The following is a 19,413-nucleotide window of genomic DNA, read 5'->3' as shown; positions in this document are numbered from 1 at the left end:
CATTTTGTGATCTCTCTTGTGTGGACAGTGAAGAGCTATCTTTGAAGGAGTGAGATACATCAGAGAAATTAAAATTGTGTCTTTTTGTTAATGTGTTTTTAATGCAGTCAGATCAACTATGAAAATATTTCATACTCTCTAGATAGGAGAGAAGCCTTTTGAGATCTGGACTGTTAAGACGTTTTTGTTCTGTGTTTATTTTTGACCCTTGGCTAATGTTGTGGAACTGGTGTTGTAAGTTCTCTTTGCATTTATGTGACTATAATTGAGAAAAACATTTATCTCTCATTGTGTAAGATTGAAATATTTTCTACTTCCAGAAAGTATTAATAAATTAGATTACAAAGCCTGTAAAATTAAAAGAGCCCTTTTCTGATTGCTTTATATATTTCATTCATTTAATTCTTTAAAAATTTCTCTTTTCAATGTTTTTTAGTTTTCATTATATACATCTTGCACAATTTTTATCAAACTTATCTCTAAATAATCTGTATATTTTGATGTTATTATAAATGGTGTTATTAATTTCAATATCCAATTGTTATTGCTGATATAGAGAAATTCAAATGATTTCTTAATATTGATCGTATATCTCTCTTAGTAAACTTCTGTGTTAGTTTGAATTGTCTTTTTGTGGATCACTTAGGATTTTATACAATGGCAGGGCAAGTACTTGTCCATGAATAAAACATTTGTATGCCTTATTTTTCTTGCCTTATTGCATTGTGTAAGATCTCTAACACAGTGTTTAATGGTGGTGGTGAGAACGGAAATTGTCTTCTCTTAGGGGGAATACATTCATTATTTCATGGTTAAGAATGGTATGATATCAGTTACCGTAAGTCCCTAGTAGATGTCCTTTATCAGGTTAAGTTCTCTTTCTTTGTCTGTTTATGGGTTCATATCTGTTGAGATCATATGTTTTTATTTTCTATTTTAGTTTGTTAATATGAAATACATTGACTTATTTTCTAATGCTAATCTAAACTGGCAACCCTGGGGTAAACATCATCTGGTCTGTTTATTATCCTTTCTGTAAATTACTTAGTTCGACTTGACAAAATTACCTTAAAGATTTTTACTTCTATATTCATGCAGAATATTGATTTGTGGTTTTTTGTTCTTATAGTGTCTTTGTCTGGTTTTCTTATTAAGCTAAGATTGGCTTCATAAAATGAGTTGAGAAGTGTTCTCTCCTCTTCAATTTTCTAGCATATTTATGTAAACTGATATTTTTTTTAATGTTCAAAATTATTCACTAATGAAAACGTTTGGCATGAAAATTTCTCTGTTGGAAGGTTTTAACTACAAATTCAATTGTCTCCAAGCAATAAGCTGGAGCAAACATAAAGCTCTCCTGATTTTTTCCCCTTCTTTCAGGGATAATGGTCGTTTGTTTACTGTTGTCCCATGTTTGAAAAAATCATTGCCTCATGTAATTTTTTTCAGTGTTCTGGTTGTTTAAGGTGGAATGATAAATCCTGTCTCTGTTACTCCATCTTGGTCAGAAGAGAAGGATTTTGGTTCTCAAGAGTTTGGTTTTGATGTGTTCATTTATGATATGATTTGGCTCTGTGTCTCCACCCAAATCTCATGTCGAATTGTAATTCCCAGTGTTGGGAGGGGGACCTGGTAGGAGGAGATTGGATCATGGGGCCAGATTTCCCCCTTACTGTTCTCATCATTGTGAGTGAGTTCTCATGAGTTCTGATTGTTTAAAAGTGCATAGCACTTCCCCCTTTGCACTCTCTCTCTCTCTCTCCCGCCGTCATGTGAAGACATGCTTGCTTTCCCTTCACCCTTCCACCATGATTGTAAGTTTCCTGAGGCCTCCCTAGCCATGCCTCCTGTACAGCATGTGGAACTGAATGAATTAAACCTCTTTTCTTTGTAAATTACTCAATGTCAGGTAGTTCTTTATAATAGTGTAAGAACAGACTAATACAATTTATAAAATAATTTCATTAAAAAAAGAGTAGAGTGTCAATTTTTCAATCTTCAAGTGACAAATAAGGTTTGGAGTATCTAATCTACCCTTAATAAGAGCGAACACAAGAATATTCTATACTCATTGGATAATCTTGCCAGAAAGCAGGATTTTATATGTCAGCAAAATAACTTTCTGTGCTTTGTAACGACTTTGTTGTATAACTTGATTTGTTTTAAGAAACAAATAGCAACAGCTTCTCAGTTCTGAACTGTTGTGGTTTCTTCCAATTTATCTTCTTAATTTATGTTTATTTTAAAATATGATAATATCACTTTAATTAACATGCAGTTAAACTCAACCAGTATTACCTCAACCATTTATTACTCTTACACACATATGTTCCAAAGTCAATAAATGATGATCTCTTCCCTAATATCACTTTTCATTTTCTCTTCACAAGATTTAGTCTTAAATTAAAAAATAAAGTCACAATGTCTTTTACACCTAAAACTATCTTTGAGATTTTCCAGATGAATATTAGCAAATCATAAACTTTTAAGCTGGGTGCAGTGGCTCCTGTCTGTAATCTCAGCACTTTGGGAGGCCAAGGTGGGAGGATTGCTTGAGCTCAGGCTCTGGAGTTTGAGACCAGCATTGGCAACAAAGCAAAACTTCATCTCTACTGAAAAAGAAAAGAAAATTAGCAGAACATAGTGGCGTGTCCCTGTAGTCCCAGCTACTTGAGTATCTGAGGTGGGAGGATCACTTGAGTCTGGGAAATAGAGGCCACAGTGAGCTATGATTGTGCCACTGTACTTCAGCCTGGGCTACAGAACAAGATGCTATTTCCAAAAAAAAAAAAAAGAAAAGATAAGAAAAAAGAAAATCATAAACATTTTGTCTTTTATAGAAAGAGATGATAAAAATAATCAGACTTCCTGGTTTCATTGCTCTTAATTAGCTCAACTTGTTGCATGAATTTCATAATTGTCAAATAAAAGAAGAAGCTCTGCTTTCTCTAGGTTAATTTTGTGCAGGGAAAACATTATTAATATAAATACATATTATATAGATTGCACACATTACAAGATGCGTTGGATGGCCATGAAAATTTGTTAGTCCATAATATATTCTTACCCTGAGTGGAAACATTGATTTGATCCTTACAAAAGAGTTGTGTATTTGTGTACTTAAATAGAGAATTTTCTACTTCTCTATCACTGTATTATTTATTACTGTAAAAAATTAACAGCTATTCAACCTTAACATTGCCAAGTTGTTTCTACTTTCTGCTCACAATTGCCTGAAGTCATGAATTTGGTTGTCAACAAAGGAAAACTTGAGAGCTTCTTGCTAAAGACTGAACCAGTTGGGGGCGGGAAGGGCGGGGATGGTTAATGGGTCCTATATGTATACATATATATACACATATAGTTAGATAGAATGAATAAGATCTAGTATTTGATAGCACAATAAGGTAACTACAGTCAACAATAATTTATCGTACATTTAAAAATGACTAAGAGTATAATTGGAATTTTTGTAACACAAAGAAATGGTAAGTGCTTGAGGCAATGGATACCCCATTTACCCTGATGTGATTATTGAGCATTGTGTGACTGTATCAAAATCTTTTATGTACCCCATAAATATATATACCCACTATGTACCCATGAAAATATATTTTTAAAAGGACTAAACTGGATATACTTAATGTTATAAGCTGAATTATGTCCTACAGAATTCATATGTTGAAGTCCTAACCCCCAGTGCTTCAGAATGTGTCTGTACTTGGAGATATGGTCTTTAAAGAGATAATTAAGGTAAAATAAGGGCACATTATGGGCCCTAAGCCAATATTACTATTGTTCTTATAAAGAAGAGATTAGGACACAGACACAGAGAAAAATGTGAAGATAAAGGGAGAAGATAGCTATCTATAAGCCAAGGAGAGAGGCCTCAGAATGAAACCAGTCCTGCTGACATGTTGATGTTGAACTTCCAGCCACCAGAACTGTGAGCAAATAAATGTATATAATTTAAGCCACCCAGTCTGTAGTACTTTTGTTATGGAAGTCTTTGCAGACTAATGCACTTAACACTGATATTTTACAGTGTGGGCTTTCAAACTGACGTGACTTAGGCAACTCTGACTGTATTTGGATTAAGTGAGGATTTCCAGAGCTTTTGTCAATCCAGAATGAGATGATTTTATGAAAGCAACTGCTGTCCCAAGATCCAGCAGAAAAAAAAAAAAAGATTAACTAGGATCGATAAGGAGGAAAATAGAATTATGGTTATTTGCTTTGAAATATTATTGATACTGTTTTTAATATTCTGTATTTTACTGTTATTCCAGAAAACCCTTTTCCCTTTCTCTTCATCTGTCTCTATCCCTCAACTTAGCACAAAATAATTCTGCAGCTTGAAAAGAAACATTCTTTAAATGTTATCTTTCCCTTCTTGATCTCTCAAAATATAGAAACAAGCATTTTACTATGTTTACTTTTCACGGCAATGTGGTTATTTGCATAGGTTCAATATGTACCTGATCTCCTTTCTACCAGGATATAATTGAAGAAATTTATCGTGTAACCAAATACTTATTTGGAGTGTCATGTTTGATAACTCATTTAACACTTTTGTGATAAGATCACAATTCAGGAACAAAGGTAGCTCATTCACAAGTGGAATCAATACCTATAAAGCCCTCCCAGGAAACTAGTCTGATACCTGTTTTGTATTTACAGAGTCCTAGCATTACAGGGAGTAAGGAAGGTCATTTCTTTGAAGGTCAAGTATGTTAGCAGATATTGATAAACTCCAGGAGAGAAGAGTTCACCCACATTTATAGATATTGCAAGTGAAACCTAGGTGAGAGAATTTCTTGGGCTTGGCTTCCTAGCTTCCAGATTGAAGAACAAATAATAGAGGCTTTTAAAAGTTTATTCAGAGTCCAAGATTCTTTATAAAATTTCCAGACAAAAGTTAATTCTTTGATTTTAGTAACTGTGCTTAATAATCATAAAGATCGGGTGATTATAAAGAAGGTTATATGGTTTAATAACACTTCTTGCTTAACTTATATAAATTAATCAGGTGGAATCATTATGAAACCAGCCCTTTTGTAATTAGTGATAATCCTTTGAGATGATTTTGGCTGGAAGGTTCTAAAAAAACATATCTAAAGCATGAAAATAAGGGAAAAGAATGGCTCCAAGTCCTTTCAATATCCTACCATGCTACCCAAGAGACAGTCAATTATACTGGGATATGTGTCTTTGTTTGACCTGCTGTATACTACTGATTGGAGCCAAGACTCTGGGATGTTACATATTAATTTGCTGACTCGTATTCAATAGAGGTGTATATAATTTATGATCACAGAAAAGGTGACCCCAAAGGTTGTGGGTTTATAGTTTGTAGGCCATTTGTCACTTTAACTTCTAACTCTGTAAACTTATTTCACCATATCTTTTCTGAGGAATATGTAAACCTCTGTTCCTCAAATATTCTTGAAATTAGTTTTATCATCCTGCTAGTTCTCTGGTGAATTAGGTAAAACAATTTTTGGATACCTGTTCACTTTACATTTATTGCAGTATCAAGTTCTCGACACTTTGAAAATCATATTTGATGTGGCAAAGACATTGAGGTCATACTATTTTCTCTGCAAGATAATTAAATATTCATCCCGATTACAGTTACTCATGTGTTATGGGTTGAATTTTGGGGCTTACTAAATTCATGTGTTGGAGTCCTAACCCCCAGTACCTCAGAATGTCACAATAGCAAAGACATGGAATCAACTTAGATGCCCATCAACAGTGTACTGGATAAAGAAAATGTAATATATATACACCACAGGACACTACATAGCCATAAAAAATGAACAAGATTATGTTGTTTGCAGCAACATGAATGCAACTAGGGGCCATTATTGTAAGCAAATTAACCCAGAAACAGAAAACCAAAGAGCACATGTTCTCACTTATAAGTGGGAGCTAAATATTGAGTACACATGGACATAAAAATGGGAACAGCAGACACTGGGAACTACTAGATGGGGGAGGGATGGAGGGGACAAGGATTGAAAAACTACCTATTGGGTACTGTGCTCACTATCGGGGTGACAATATCATTTGTACTCCAAACCTCAGTGATATGCAATTTACCCATGCAACAAACCAGCACATGTACCCCATGAACCTGAAATAAAAGGCTTTTTTTTTTTTTAAGTACCTCAGGATGTGACCACTTGGAGATAGCATTGCTGCAGATGTAATTAGTTGAGATGAGGTCACTGGGGTGATGAGCCCTAATCTAGTATGAGTGATGGATGCCCTTATAAACAGGGGAAATTTGGACACAGATGCACACACACAAGAACACCATGTGAAGATGAAGGCAGATACTAGGGTGTTGCTTCTATAAGCCACAGAATGCCAGCAAACCACCAGAAACCAGGGGAGAGGCAAGGAACAGATTCTCCCACACAGCTCTTAGAAGCAACCAACCCTACTGACACTTCAATCTTGGATTTCTAGCTTCTAGAGAGATGATAAATTTTGGTTGTTTAAGCCACCCAGAAGATTGTGTATTGTTATGGCCAGCCCTAGGAAACTAATATACCCAATTAACTGCTTTACACCTGAGATTGTGTGAGTAACAAAATACTTGACTATGTGAGTGACACAAAGGTTTGAAATATGGTCCTTATCCCTGAAAGGCTTATGATCTTCATGGTGAGATATGTTAACAGAATTCAAGTGAGGCTAGGGCGAGGAGTGATTCACAAATTTTTGAAAGGAATTGATCTAATAGCTGGACCAAATCAAATAGAGAAAACTCTCTAACAATACAGCCCTGGAGATAGAAAATATGGTGGAGATATTAATGAAAGCACAGTATTGTTATAGCATTGAAGTGAATGTGCTTATCTGTTGGTGAGGGAAATGGGATTCAATCTTTCAAACCCAAGGCAAGAACAAATTCATACTCACAAGGGAAGTAAGGAAGGACAAAATGAAGGTGAACAAAACATTAATGTGGGTGGGGAGATGGAGGGAAAACAAAAACTAATGTGTATCGAGTATGTATTACTTGCTAGACTTTTTTTTAGGTTTTTTACTTTTTATACATTCCATCTCATTGAATCCTCCCAGTAACCTTGTTAAATACCCATTTAGAAGTTAATAAAATTGAGGCTCAGAGGGATTAAGTATGTTGCCCAAGGCCACACAGGCTCAGCTAACAAGTGGCAGAACAGGGTTCTGAACCTAGGCTATCTGGCTCCAAAATGCATACTCATTTTACTACCTTCTATCATATTATAATGAAATGGCATAAATATAACACAAGTAGCTGAAGAGTAGTTATAGTTATGCTGTTTACTAGAGCTGCCCATCAACTTCAGTACAGCGTACATGGATGACTGAGCTTCCTGGCTCCTTTGTGGTTGGGTGGGTCATGGATTGTTCCTGAACAATGGTTCCGGCTTTTGTGAAAAGATGTCATTCGTGGGCCAGAACTTTGTCACTAGGGAAAGATCTTCCAGAGCTCTGATTTCTCTGCCTCAGCAATAGTAGAAGCGTGTGTTATGATATAGACTCTATCTACCTGTGTTCCTGAGAGACTGTGATGAACTAATATCCTCCCACTGACCTATACTCGATATATACCATTAGTGAAAAGCAAGCTTTGGCTGGTTTAAAGTTATTCTGACTGATAAAGTAACATACATTTAAAATTTTTTTTTGGTAAAATAAGTAGTGTAGGAACTGAATGTCCCTTCATCTCTAAAATTCTATGATTTAGGCAGGGTTTGTCACTATAAGAGCATTGCATTCTGCAAGTATGAAAAACATTTGTAGGTATGTAAAGGAAGTGATTAAATTACTATTTATAATGAGTTCTAATGTCAGTTTTTTGTGTTCAATCATCGTATATGTGACAGTGATGATAAATCTGCCCTTTAATGGTGCAAGGTGTCTGCCTGCCCCACGCAGGTCTCACTCTTCTTGCACCCCATGATGATGAGGAGGAGGACAGGCTTACACAAGAAGGGGCTTTTGTGTGGCACCAAACAGTAGTGACAGGAGATTTGAAAAGGTAGGGAAATGAATCAAAAGTTTCACAGACTCAGAGGCTATCACAACTAGTATACGCTTTATTTTTGAACACTAGGCAGAGATAATAAATGCGAATACACGTGATGAGAAACCACCTTGGGGTGGTACACCTGAAGAAATTTCATGAAAAAGACTGAACTTGAACAGAGACTCAACAACTTGGAATGAAATAGACTAGATGGCTTGTGGGAAGCAGAGGTTGGAGCAAAGTAATGGGTCAACACATAGAGAGGGCAAAAATGAGGTGTAGTCAGGGAGCAGAATGTGTGTGAAGGGATCGGAAAAATAAGGTGGCCATAGATAAGCATTAAACATTTAATTTCTAAAGAAAAGAACACCAAATCTATGCAATATTCATCAGATTTACAAAGGCATCAGCATGCCACGTGATCCCAGCAGGCCTGAAGTCTTAGGCGTTGAGTAGCAGGGGTGATCAGTGGTATATGAATGCTTTGTGTGAGCCGCAAATGAGCTCACTCAAACTGTGCACGAGGGAATTCACATGAGTCTGGAAGAAGCAGCTGGAAATGAGGAGCTCCCTGATCCAGCTTCCCAAACACCTGACTCAGGGGGCATAGGACTATGCAGCCTCTCACCTGGAGAAGCTTTCTGGGGCTGTGAAATCCCCAGGGAAGTGACAATGTTTGGTCAAGGTTAGGAGGTGAAAGGAATAATCATGGAAGTAGAATTGGCTAACCATGGATAGGGAGTTCCAGAGAGCACTGAGGAAAGGTTAAGAGGAGAAGAAACTTGTTGCGGGCTTGGCAGAGGAAAGAGGCAACATAGAGCAATATGAGGATAAAACGTTGAAACAGGAGAGAGGATCAGAACAAAAGGGGCAAAGTAGGTGAGGCATGGGGGATTTAGTTTGGCAGTAGATGCCAACTTAGGCCCAATAGTCCCCTGGTAGCCTCAGAAGGCATGGCCCCGAGGCCCATCAAGAGCTAGCTGTGCTGGAGTTCCCTGTCCTTCCCAGGAAAGAGAGTCTCTAGGGAGATTGCCATCAGCCTCTTTTCAATGAGTCAGCTGAGGCTGGGATGGACAGTGCATATCCCAAGCACAACTTCCTTGAGGTTTTTCATGTTGTCCATAAGCAGAATAGGAAACTACACACTGCTCTGAATAGGACGTGCAATCCACCACCTGCTGCTCAAGGCTATTACCAAGACTGTACATGAAGCAAGTAAGGAATGAACAACTTCACAAAAAACTTCTTGGTACCTCAGAGATCTTCCTGTGTGTGGGGAAAGCCCATCTTAAAATACCATCATCTTTAGAAAGAATTGTAATTCTTGAGAATATCACATCAATAATGATTAAGTACAACACAGGTAATTTAGACTTAAAAAATGATCTTTGTTGCTATTTTAAGTTCATGCTCTTTTCACTATTCTGGGGAATGGATGCCATCGCAAAATTGTGAAATTACAGCGAAAAGGAAAATACTTATTAAAACTGTTCCTTTCATTCTCCATCCCATAATGGCCATTGCAGAGAAGCAATCCTACACAGCGCTGCTCTGCCTTCACTTGGGTTCTGGGCTGAGGGGAGCAGAGGCAGCACTGGCTGCAGGGCCTGGCTGCAGAGGTCGTGCTCTTCCACCACAGGTAGAACACCAGGGTCTCCCTGAAATGCTGCACTTCATGTAGTTCCAAGCCTGAATTTAGCATAGAGGACCTACTTCGAGAGGCCACTATTCCAATTTTCCTCTGACCTCTAGCAGCAGAGATGATAACTCAAGTGCCATATGATGCTTACAAAGTCTGATAGCAGAGATGCTTTAGTCACCTGTTACTGCCACGGATTTGCTTTGCACTCACTCCTAAACTTATTTAAAATCTTTTTCTGCTTTCTTTCATATGGCCCGTGATTAAGTTATCCAAGTTAAGCCGCCAAAAGCAACCAAAAATGATGGAAATAAAGACAAGAAATGGTTTTATTTACAATGCAAATGATCTGGTTCACTCTCAAATAAGAGAACAAATTAAATTAGCTGCTCTTCAAATCGAGAGGAAGGCACTGCACAGACCCGCCGGCAGTCATCAGATCGGGGTTCTCTGGTGGATCTTGGCTCTGGGGAGGGCTTCAAACCAATTTCACTGTAGCAAGGGTTTGATTCACTGCATGTAATTGGAATGAAAAAAATATTGAATATATTGAATGCAATAGCAATATACTCCATTACAACATGACAAAATGCAAGTGCCAAGTGGCTGTCAGAATGTTTCAGTGCACAAATGACAAATGCCCTGGGGAAATGATTCAAAGTAACAAGGACAGCATTTATTAGCACTTCTACAACCTTGGAGCCTGGAAGAATGGCAGTTTTACTTAATTCAGTCTTTCCTCCTCAAGGGGGAAGATAGGCACAGCAAGAATTGCTCATAGCAAGAGGGCTGGGGTAATGGGTTAGGTGAGGGATAGAAATGCTCTTTACCACCGGGTTATTTTTCCAACTCACTGCCAAATGTTTTTCTCCCTGGAATTTCTCAGAAATGCTTACTATCAGTCAATGCTTCATCTTGCTTGTAATAAGCTCTCTCTGTTATTTTAAGTCTCTCTTACAGTTTAACAACCTGCCTTGCTAGCTGGACAGGCTGTCTTGATGCAAGAATGTAAATACACAGTGCTCTGATAGACAGAATACCACATACCACGAATCTCCCCCCAAAAGAATATTATAAATTCATGGAAAAATAGTGGGTGAACAGAAAAAAAAAATCCAATTTCCTAGTAGAACAGTTTCTTTTAAAAAATGACCCTCTTTTGCAACCTGGGAATGTTCTTTTGTTGACTTAAATCTCTTCTTTCTCTCTTGGAAAAGAAGGAAGCACATCAAACAGAGAGTAAGTTGCCGTGGCTTTATTTGTTTTTAATTTATGTAATCATAACCTTTAATTGACACATAATTATTGTACATATTTGTAGGGTACAGTGAGATGTTTCAATACATGTATTTATTGTGTAGTGATCAAATCAGGATAGTTATTTTCATTATCTCAAATATATATCTTTTTTGTTGTGAGAACGAACATTCAAAATCCTCTCTTCTAAATATTTTGAAGTACACCAAGAGTTTGTTAACTATAATCACCCTTCTGTGCAACAGTATTCCAGAACTTATTCCTCCTGTCTCGTAGGAGATTCCTCCCAACTGTGACCCTGTACCCATGAACCCATGACCTCCTCTCTTACCCAGTGGTGTATTTGCTTGGAGCACAATGGTAACCACTCTCCTACAAGATTAGCTTTGTTAGTTTCTGCATATGAGTGATATCATGTCTTTCTGTTTCTGGCTCATTTCACTTAACATAATGTTCATCCATGTTACTGCAAATCACAGGATTCAATTCTTTTTATGGCTGAATAGTATTCCATTGCAGAATATAGGTATACATACCACATTTTCTTCAGCCATTCATCTGCTGATGGACACTTGGGTTGCTTCCATCTCTTGACTACTATGAATATTGCTGCAATACACAAGGGCGTGCAGATATCTCTTCATCTTGCTGCTGTTCATAGGGCAAGAGTCACATTCTAGAAGGTGGTGAGCACCCAACCTTTGCTGCAGCAGAGAGTCCCCTGAATGGCTTGGATCTGGGATCCTGAATGGAGTCCAGCCTTTTGGGAATTGTAACCAAGTGATAAGTCCCAGAAATATTTTTGCCTTGATATTTCCCCAACTTTCTAGTGCTGAGTCCAGAGCCAGGCCCATAGTAGGTGTTAGTAGGTTTTCTAATGAAAGAGAAATAGACGGCTGGGATCCTAAAACTCTGAGTCCTCCACCGTCTGCCTTCCATCTTTGCAGGTCTTCCAGGAGGCAAGCAGATGGGACCGACAAGGATAATTAACACTCTATTACTAACAGGGGTTTTGGCCTAAACTTTTATGTAGCTTCCTATGGAGGAAATGAGTTGCCCTGTACATTGTCTCTGAGGACCCTGTTACCCAAACTAGAAGCTGGGGAGAGGGACAGCTGACAGTTCATTCACTTTCAACTTCTTGACATTTCACTCAACGGGTCTCATCACTCAGCAGCTGAAAAGGTACCATTCCCCAAGTGGCTGACAACACCATCTTCCTATTACAAAAAAAAAAAAGAGAAAATCCAAAGGAGAATTTCTCAAAGTGAGATTCCACACAAAAGCAAAAGCATTTTTAGTCTGGGCTCTGTGGCTCATGCCTGTGATCCCAGCACTTTGGAGGCCAAGGCAGGGAGATCAATTGAGACCAGGAGTTTGAGACCAGGCTGGCCGACGTAACAAAACCTCATCTCTATTAAAATTACAAAAAATTAGCTGGGCATCGTGTGCACGCCTGTAGTCCCAGCTACTCAGGAGGCTGAGGCGTGAGAATCACTTGAACCCTGGGGGGTGGAATTTGCAGTGAGCCGAGATCTGGCCACTGCACTCCAGCCTGGGCAAGAGAGTGAGACTGCTACAAAAAAAATTTTTTTTAGTGATTTTTTTGCTCTTTTCTGTGAATGCTCCAATCTTCACTCACCTGGCTCAATTTTAAAATCTTTGACTTCCACCTGAACTCTTGTCAATGTGGAGTAGGTAGTTGGGCAAAGAGTTTGGGCATGTCAAGTTCTTCATTTGCAAAGATTAGAATATGCATCTCACACATGATTTGCATAAATCCATGAGAAAAAGCAGAATCTGTGTCTCTGCACCTCCTCCCTGTATCTCAAGTTCCTATCAGTACTAATAAATCCTTTCCATGTACAGTGTCTGAGGTGGCCTAGCCAAGCTGAGGTCATCCTTCCAATGATCACAGTCAGTGTTAGCTCCTTCTTGGAATGATTTACATCTTTTTTTTTTGTTTGTTTGTTTGTTTGAGACAGCCTCTCTCTCTGTCGCCCAGGCAGGAGTGCAGTGGTGCAATCTCCGCTCACTGCAACCTCCACCTCCCAGATTCAAGCAAGTCTCCCGGCCTCAGCCTCCTGAGTAGCTGGGATTGCAGGCACCTGCTACCAAGCCCGGCTAATTTTTTTGTATTTTTTTAGTAGAGATGGAGTTTTGCCATGTTGGCCAGGCTGGTCTTGAACTCCTGACATCAGGTGATCTGCCCACCTTGGCCTACCAAAGTGTTGGGATTACAGGCGTGAGCCACCGCACCTGTTAGATCATTCTAATCACAGTGACTGGCCAATTTACTTAAATCCTTGTTGTACTGGGGGACTCCTAATAAGAATTACTTTTGACAGACTCTTATATTAACATTATTATTAATCATCAGACATCTTACAGTATATCTAAATTATTGTATTATTATAGAATGGGAGTCCCTCTTGTGGTCTAAGATATGTTTATCCTAGGACTCAGAATCCCCCATCTGCCAGTTTTGCATAAAAGCAGTGCAGGAGATGTAGGAGTGTAGTTCATTGTAAAGCTAAGAAAACCAAGGCAAAACCTCTGATCCTAAAACAGTGAGGCCCCAGCAGCATAGTCAACTTTATGAGATGTAGGAACAGCTAAAGACAAGTCTGGAATAAAAAAAAAAAAAAAAAAATCACGGGATCCTTAGGGAGTACAGAGCAACTTATTTATGAGTATATTTGAGAAACTCTAGGGGGATGTTCAGAAGTAGCTGGGAAATTTTTGAATAGTGGATGCAACACCCAAGAAATTAATTTTTTTTGTTTTTCTTATTGGGAATGTATGTAATCTGGGAAAGAAAAGGTAACAAAACTCACTCCACAAAGAGAAAACCTCACAATTACCAAGTAGAATGCTCTCATTTAAAAAATGATAAACCAGAAACTCTAAGAAAAGGAAACTCTCGCCAAGCACGGTTGCTCATGCCTGTAATCCCAGCACTTTGAGAGGCCTAAGTGGGAGGATCATCCGAGGTCAGAAGTTCAAGACCAGCCTTGCCCACATAGTGAAACCCCATCTCTACTAAAAAAAACAAAAATTAGCCAGGTGTGGTGGTGGGTGCCTGTAATCCCAGCTACTTGGGAGGCTGAGGCAGGAGAATCGCTTGAACCCAGGAGGTGGAGGTTGCAGTGAGCCAAGATCGTGCCACTGCACTCCAGCCTGGGGGATAGAGCAGGACTCTGTCTCCCTAAAATAAAATAAAATAAAATAAAGAAAAGAAAAGAAAAATACAGTCTTTTAAAAGTCATCTGATTATATCCCCCACCTATTTTATAGGTGAGAAAACTGGAGCAGGACTGGAGGTTACATGGCTGCATTGCAGGTTGTTTTGGAAGTGTTACCACCTAGATATGGGAGGAATGGTGTCTACTTACAGGGAGTCAAAGGCAAATGGCTGCAGTGCCCTGTCAGAGCAAAAGAATAAGACCATTCAGCAATACATGTTTTCATCCTGACTTCAACTATTACGTCTTAACTTCAGGATGAAACTTTCATGTGCGTCCGTGTGAAGAGACCACCAAATAGGCTTTGTGTGAGCAACATGGCTGTTTATTTCACCTGGGTGCAGGTGGGCTGAGTCCGAAAAGAGAGTCAGCGAAGGGAGATAGGGGTGGGGCCGTTTTATAGGATTTGGGTAGGTAAAGGAAAATTATAGTCAAAGGGGGGTTGTTCTCTGGCGGGCAGGAGTGGGGGTCGCAAGGTGCTCAGTGGGGGTGCTTTCTGAGCCAGGATGAGCCAGGAAAAGGACTTTCACAAGGTAATATCATCACTTAAGGCGAGGACCAGCCATTTACACTTCTTTTGTGGTGGAATGTCATCAGTTAAGATGGGGCAGAGCATATTCACTTCTTTTGTGATTCTTCAGTTACTTCAGGCCATCTGGACGTATACGTGCAAGTCACAGGGGATGCAATGGCTTGGCTTGGGCTCAGAGGCCTGACAGAAACATTTACTAAATTGACATATCTAAATTCTAAAATTTAAAAAAATACTAAAATGAAAAATCATTTCTGTTTTTATTCAAAAAATAATGCAAAACGAAATAGGGAAGTCTTCAATATTCATTCAACAGACATTCAAAAGGTATTTTACAGGAAAAATCATTTTGCTTCCTGCCCTCCTGAGGCTTTCATTCTAATTAGGAAGATGAGATTTGTGCAAAAAGAAACTAGAGCACAGTGTAATAAGTGGCAAGTGCTACACAAGGCATAGGATTAGAGATAATGGATAATTCAATTCTAGCAGAGAGGACTGGGGAAGCTCCTGAGAGAGGACATTCGATAACAGGTGGAATTTCAATGGTTGAAAATATAAGTAAGAATGAGAACTTATTTTCTGTCAGAAAAAAATTAATACAAAGAGGAAGTTAATAACAACAACGGGGATAAAAACAAGCTACCTTTCATTGAACACCTACATTACATGTATTAGCTAATGAATTCTTCAATGACAATCTTATGAAGTATTTATTATTATCCCTATTTAACAGATGAGAAAACTGAGGCTCATGGAGGAAAAATAATTTGCCCAAGAACATATAGTGAGTTAGTAGTTTGACTTTGGCTCTGTTTGATTCCAAAGCCTCAGCTATTTACCTCAAAATATTTATAATAAAGTAGAGAAAATACTATTCATATTCAGGAATCCTCAAGCAGTCAGTATAGCTCTAGTTAGGTGTTAGTGTTGGTGTGTCAAGGGAAACACAGAGACAGGTTTGATTCCACAGCTAACAGTGAAAGAACTGACTGCTGGGCAAAGGTTCTGTTTATTAATTGTTTTTCTGTGATTAAGCTCCAAGAAAGAAAACTTAAAAAGTTCAATGCACAATACATTTCCTTTAATAAATACGTATTTTGAATCACTAAGTTAGAGAAAAAGTGTTTTGAATCATGACATTATGAATTTCAAGCCAATACGGAAGCATGGAAAAGCTTAATACTATTTAAATAGTATTTTAAAATTAAATATGTGTGAAATCTGGCTTCTGTTTCTCAATGGCCTCCCACCATATCCATCCAAAAAATATTGGAAGCAATTCTATTAGTCTTATTCTTGTGTAATGAGACGTACTTGCCATACATGTACTCAAGGGATCAGAGAGAAATACTCAACATCCTGTTAGTGAAATGATAGTCCACCTTCTGAGAAGAGACCTCAGTTTTGCCTAATAGAGATCCAGCTCTAAAACCATTGAAATGCTAAGCTGAAGCACCCACAGGCAGTGCCTCTTCCGTTTTTCATATCTTGACTTTTGTCTCTGCCATTTCCCCTTAATTGAGATGAAAGAACAGATTGCCATCTGGAATCCCTATGTTAAGGTTAATAATTACCCTTTCTGTTTTTGCTGCGTACCATTTAGAGAAAAGTTTTCTGATTGACCAGGATGACTCTTCAAGGGAATCTGTGGCGTTTTCTTATCTGACTGTCAAAAAACAGGCAGACAATGATCTTTCTGGTTTGGTTAAAGAGCAGCGTTTCCCAGAGGCTGGCGGTCCCTCCAGCTCTATAGTTGAGTGACTTCTCTGGGGCCCGGGAGCAGAGAAACTCAGTGTTGTGTCCCCTAGTCTTGGCTACAGGCTGTCCTGCCCTTCCTTGTCAAATAAGGACAGCATTGGCTCAGGGCAGGGAAGCACCGGGAAGGTATGTGCTCAGATTTTCCTGGATGGCAGCAAAGATGTCTGTGCAAACAACTGGCTGAAGAGGATATTGCTGTTTTGAACAAATCTGGATTTCTGTCTTAAACAAATATTTTCTGGACGCACTCTCCATCAGAATGAACTGTCAATTGCATCCCACAGTTTTGGCAACTATGGAGTTGCAAAGTGAGCTTTGAAACAGAGACAGAGGCTCTGGCTGCAAACTCCAGCCCTTCCTTGCAGAATAACCTCAGGAAGGCACAACATCCCTGGATCTCAGTTTCAAGTGAAAAGTTGGTGTAAAATTACCCTAGGTAATTTGGTGGATTAAATATGTGACTGCTTGAGAATCCTTTGACACACAGCAGGCATTCATTAAACGTTCCTTGTTTTGAGTGAATGTTGCTCACCCTTTGACATATTTACAGAGGCATATATATGTAATTCCTGGGTCTTTCTTCTTTTATCCAAAAAACAAAGGATTTTACCCCAAATGCCCTCCTGAGCCATAGCTGAGTAGACCTGCACATGGGGCAGGATCTTCTTTTCTTTTTCTTTCTTGGAGCCAAAACTCCTTTACCAGAAACATTACTGTCGATATCAACACCGTTATCTGTAAGACATGATTCACAAAACTGGCACAAAGCACATAATCACATTATGACAAAACATGTATTGAGTTGATTTTTGAGGTAGTATTTTCAGATTTTCAGGATAAGGAGAGTCATTTTTTCACTCAAGGGACTTGCAGTGTATGTAAGGAGTCAAGATGTTCCTTCGTTTCTTCGTTCTTGCAATCCGCTCAGAAGTGTCAACAATCAGCATGTCTCAGATGAGCTCTCCTTCTAGTTCCAAGCACTAGCATCCCATGATCCAGCTGCTCCCTTCAATCTGGTGGAGATTGGCTTCAATCTGGCTGAGATTAAGTTGGAAAAAAAATGCATATATTCTATTAAGTCTTAGGCAGTTTGAGAATTAAGGTGGGGGCGGTGGGGAGTGTAAATCAAAGGAGGCTTCTCAGAGGAGATACTCTCCCAAGGCTTTGTGTGTAACACCTATGCCCCTCCAATTCCCATTAATCCCATTTTTTTTCTCAGCCTTGGTACTGTTCCCCTTCCTCAGAATGGCTGGGTCTATGTCAAGATTTCACTCTTCAGACAGATTTCTTTACCTTACCAGTAGGCACACAGCACAGACACTTGGGATTTGTTTTTCACCTGAGAAAAAAGCCAATGGGATTAAAGCCTGGGGAAAAAATCATTGGATAAAAGCAATTCAGATCCACTGGGACAAAACTTAAAAGAAAAGATGCGGACCCTGGGCCTACTTAATGCTGCTTCCCCCTATACTTTATATTAGTTTTGATCTTCATTTCAGCTTTGAAGCAAAGCTCTGATACCGCCCCTGCATTACTGGATGTAAGGTGACTAAACAGTTATATTCCAAGCATCAGTTGCAAGGGGAAGCATTAGCCTTATTGCAGAGGAATGTCGCCACTTGTATTCTTCTACACAACAAGGGGTTTGTTCAATCTCTCTCACTAAGCAAGGAGTACTCTTTCCACCACAGGCATTAAAAAATATCCTCCCATAGCCATGACAGAAAGAAGAATTCCAAAGCTGTAGCTGTGAAGGACTGCAATTAAGGAATGAGAGGTGTAGCTCTCTTCCTTCCAGCCAAGGAGCAAAGACTAGAAACCATCTCCTGTGAGCAGTCACGGCCCCAAGCAAGAAGCTGAGATGGGGAGCAAGCATAGGGCAGGTACATGGGAACACACACAACGATGTTATACTGACTGAGGCTTTTTACCAGTCCTTTGGTGAGTGGGGAACCAGACTATTATCAGAATCCACTGACTGTCCTTTAGAATGTATTGTATTGTTTTAGTCCCTCACACTCACCTGGTCCTTCCCACCACAGGACCTTTGCACATGTTCTCTGACTGGAACAAACTTCACTCTCCTCTTTGTCTACTTAACTCCTAAACATACTTTTGTATCTTAAACCTGACTTCTTCAGGAAGCCTTCCCTGCAAGGCATCTCCTAGGGTGTATGCTGAAACCACTTTTTTTTTTTTTTTTGAGATAGAGTCTCTCTCTGTCACCCAGGCTGGAGTGCAATAGTGCAATCTCGGCTCACTGCAACCTCTGCCTTCTGAGTTCAAGTGATTCTCCCACCTCAGCCTCCCGAGTAGCTGGTATTACAGGCACCCGCCATCATGCCTGGCTAATTTTTGTATTTTTGTAGAGATGGGGTTTCACCATGTTGGACAGGCTGGTCTTGAACTCCTGACCTCAGGTGATCCACCCACCACGGCCTCCCAAAGTGCTGGGATTACAGGCGTGGGAGCCACCGTGCCTGGCCTGGAAAACACTTTTTGTAGGATCACTGTCAGTATAAACATTTTGATTTGAGAATGTATTACACAATTCAAGCAAGAATTGAATGAAGATAATAGAATAATGGGTAGAGAAGTGGTTACATATTTGTGTAAATTCTCAGCAGGGCACATGAAAGATCTTTAGGGTGTCTAGGCACCATCTCTTCCTGTTCAGGTTTAGAAATCATCTGTTCATGTTCTTAATTGTCAAAAATGCTGCCCCTGGCTAATTTCATATATCCCATAGTGGGAAAAATTTTGCAACTCACAATGCCATGGCTCTTCAGAATGTTTGATAGAAACAACACAGATCTTCTTGCTGCTACAGTTCACTGACATCATCGATTCGATGCTGGTGACATCATTGCTCAGGATGCTGGGTCAACCAAAAGCAGCCCATGAGTGTGGGCTTTTAGTGACTCTTTCAAAGGTTGTTACTTTGTTTTGTTGA

General features: G+C 39.2%; 3 annotated features.

Moving 5' to 3' along the window:
- Positions 14,300 to 15,036: an enhancer, noted in NCBI's record as "OCT4-NANOG hESC enhancer chr6:142970487-142971223 (GRCh37/hg19 assembly coordinates)". NCBI's record gives its function as "activates a minimal SCP1, AML or CMV promoter by ChIP-STARR-seq in naive and primed H9 embryonic stem cells {active_cell/tissue: H9 hESC(naive and primed)}" and the evidence as "EXISTENCE:reporter gene assay evidence [ECO:0000049][PMID:30033119]".
- Positions 15,834 to 16,420: an enhancer, noted in NCBI's record as "OCT4-NANOG-H3K27ac hESC enhancer chr6:142969103-142969689 (GRCh37/hg19 assembly coordinates)". NCBI's record gives its function as "activates a minimal SCP1, AML or CMV promoter by ChIP-STARR-seq in primed H9 embryonic stem cells {active_cell/tissue: H9 hESC(primed)}" and the evidence as "EXISTENCE:reporter gene assay evidence [ECO:0000049][PMID:30033119]".
- Positions 16,421 to 17,007: an enhancer, noted in NCBI's record as "H3K27ac hESC enhancer chr6:142968516-142969102 (GRCh37/hg19 assembly coordinates)". NCBI's record gives its function as "activates a minimal SCP1, AML or CMV promoter by ChIP-STARR-seq in primed H9 embryonic stem cells {active_cell/tissue: H9 hESC(primed)}" and the evidence as "EXISTENCE:reporter gene assay evidence [ECO:0000049][PMID:30033119]".

The sequence above is a fragment of the Homo sapiens genome, chromosome 6, assembly GCF_000001405.40.
Source record: "Homo sapiens chromosome 6, GRCh38.p14 Primary Assembly".
In the NCBI taxonomy this organism is placed as follows: domain Eukaryota; kingdom Metazoa; phylum Chordata; class Mammalia; order Primates; family Hominidae; genus Homo; species Homo sapiens.
The sequence above is the reverse complement of the archived record's forward strand: the minus strand, read 5'-3'. Positions and strand labels throughout refer to the sequence as shown.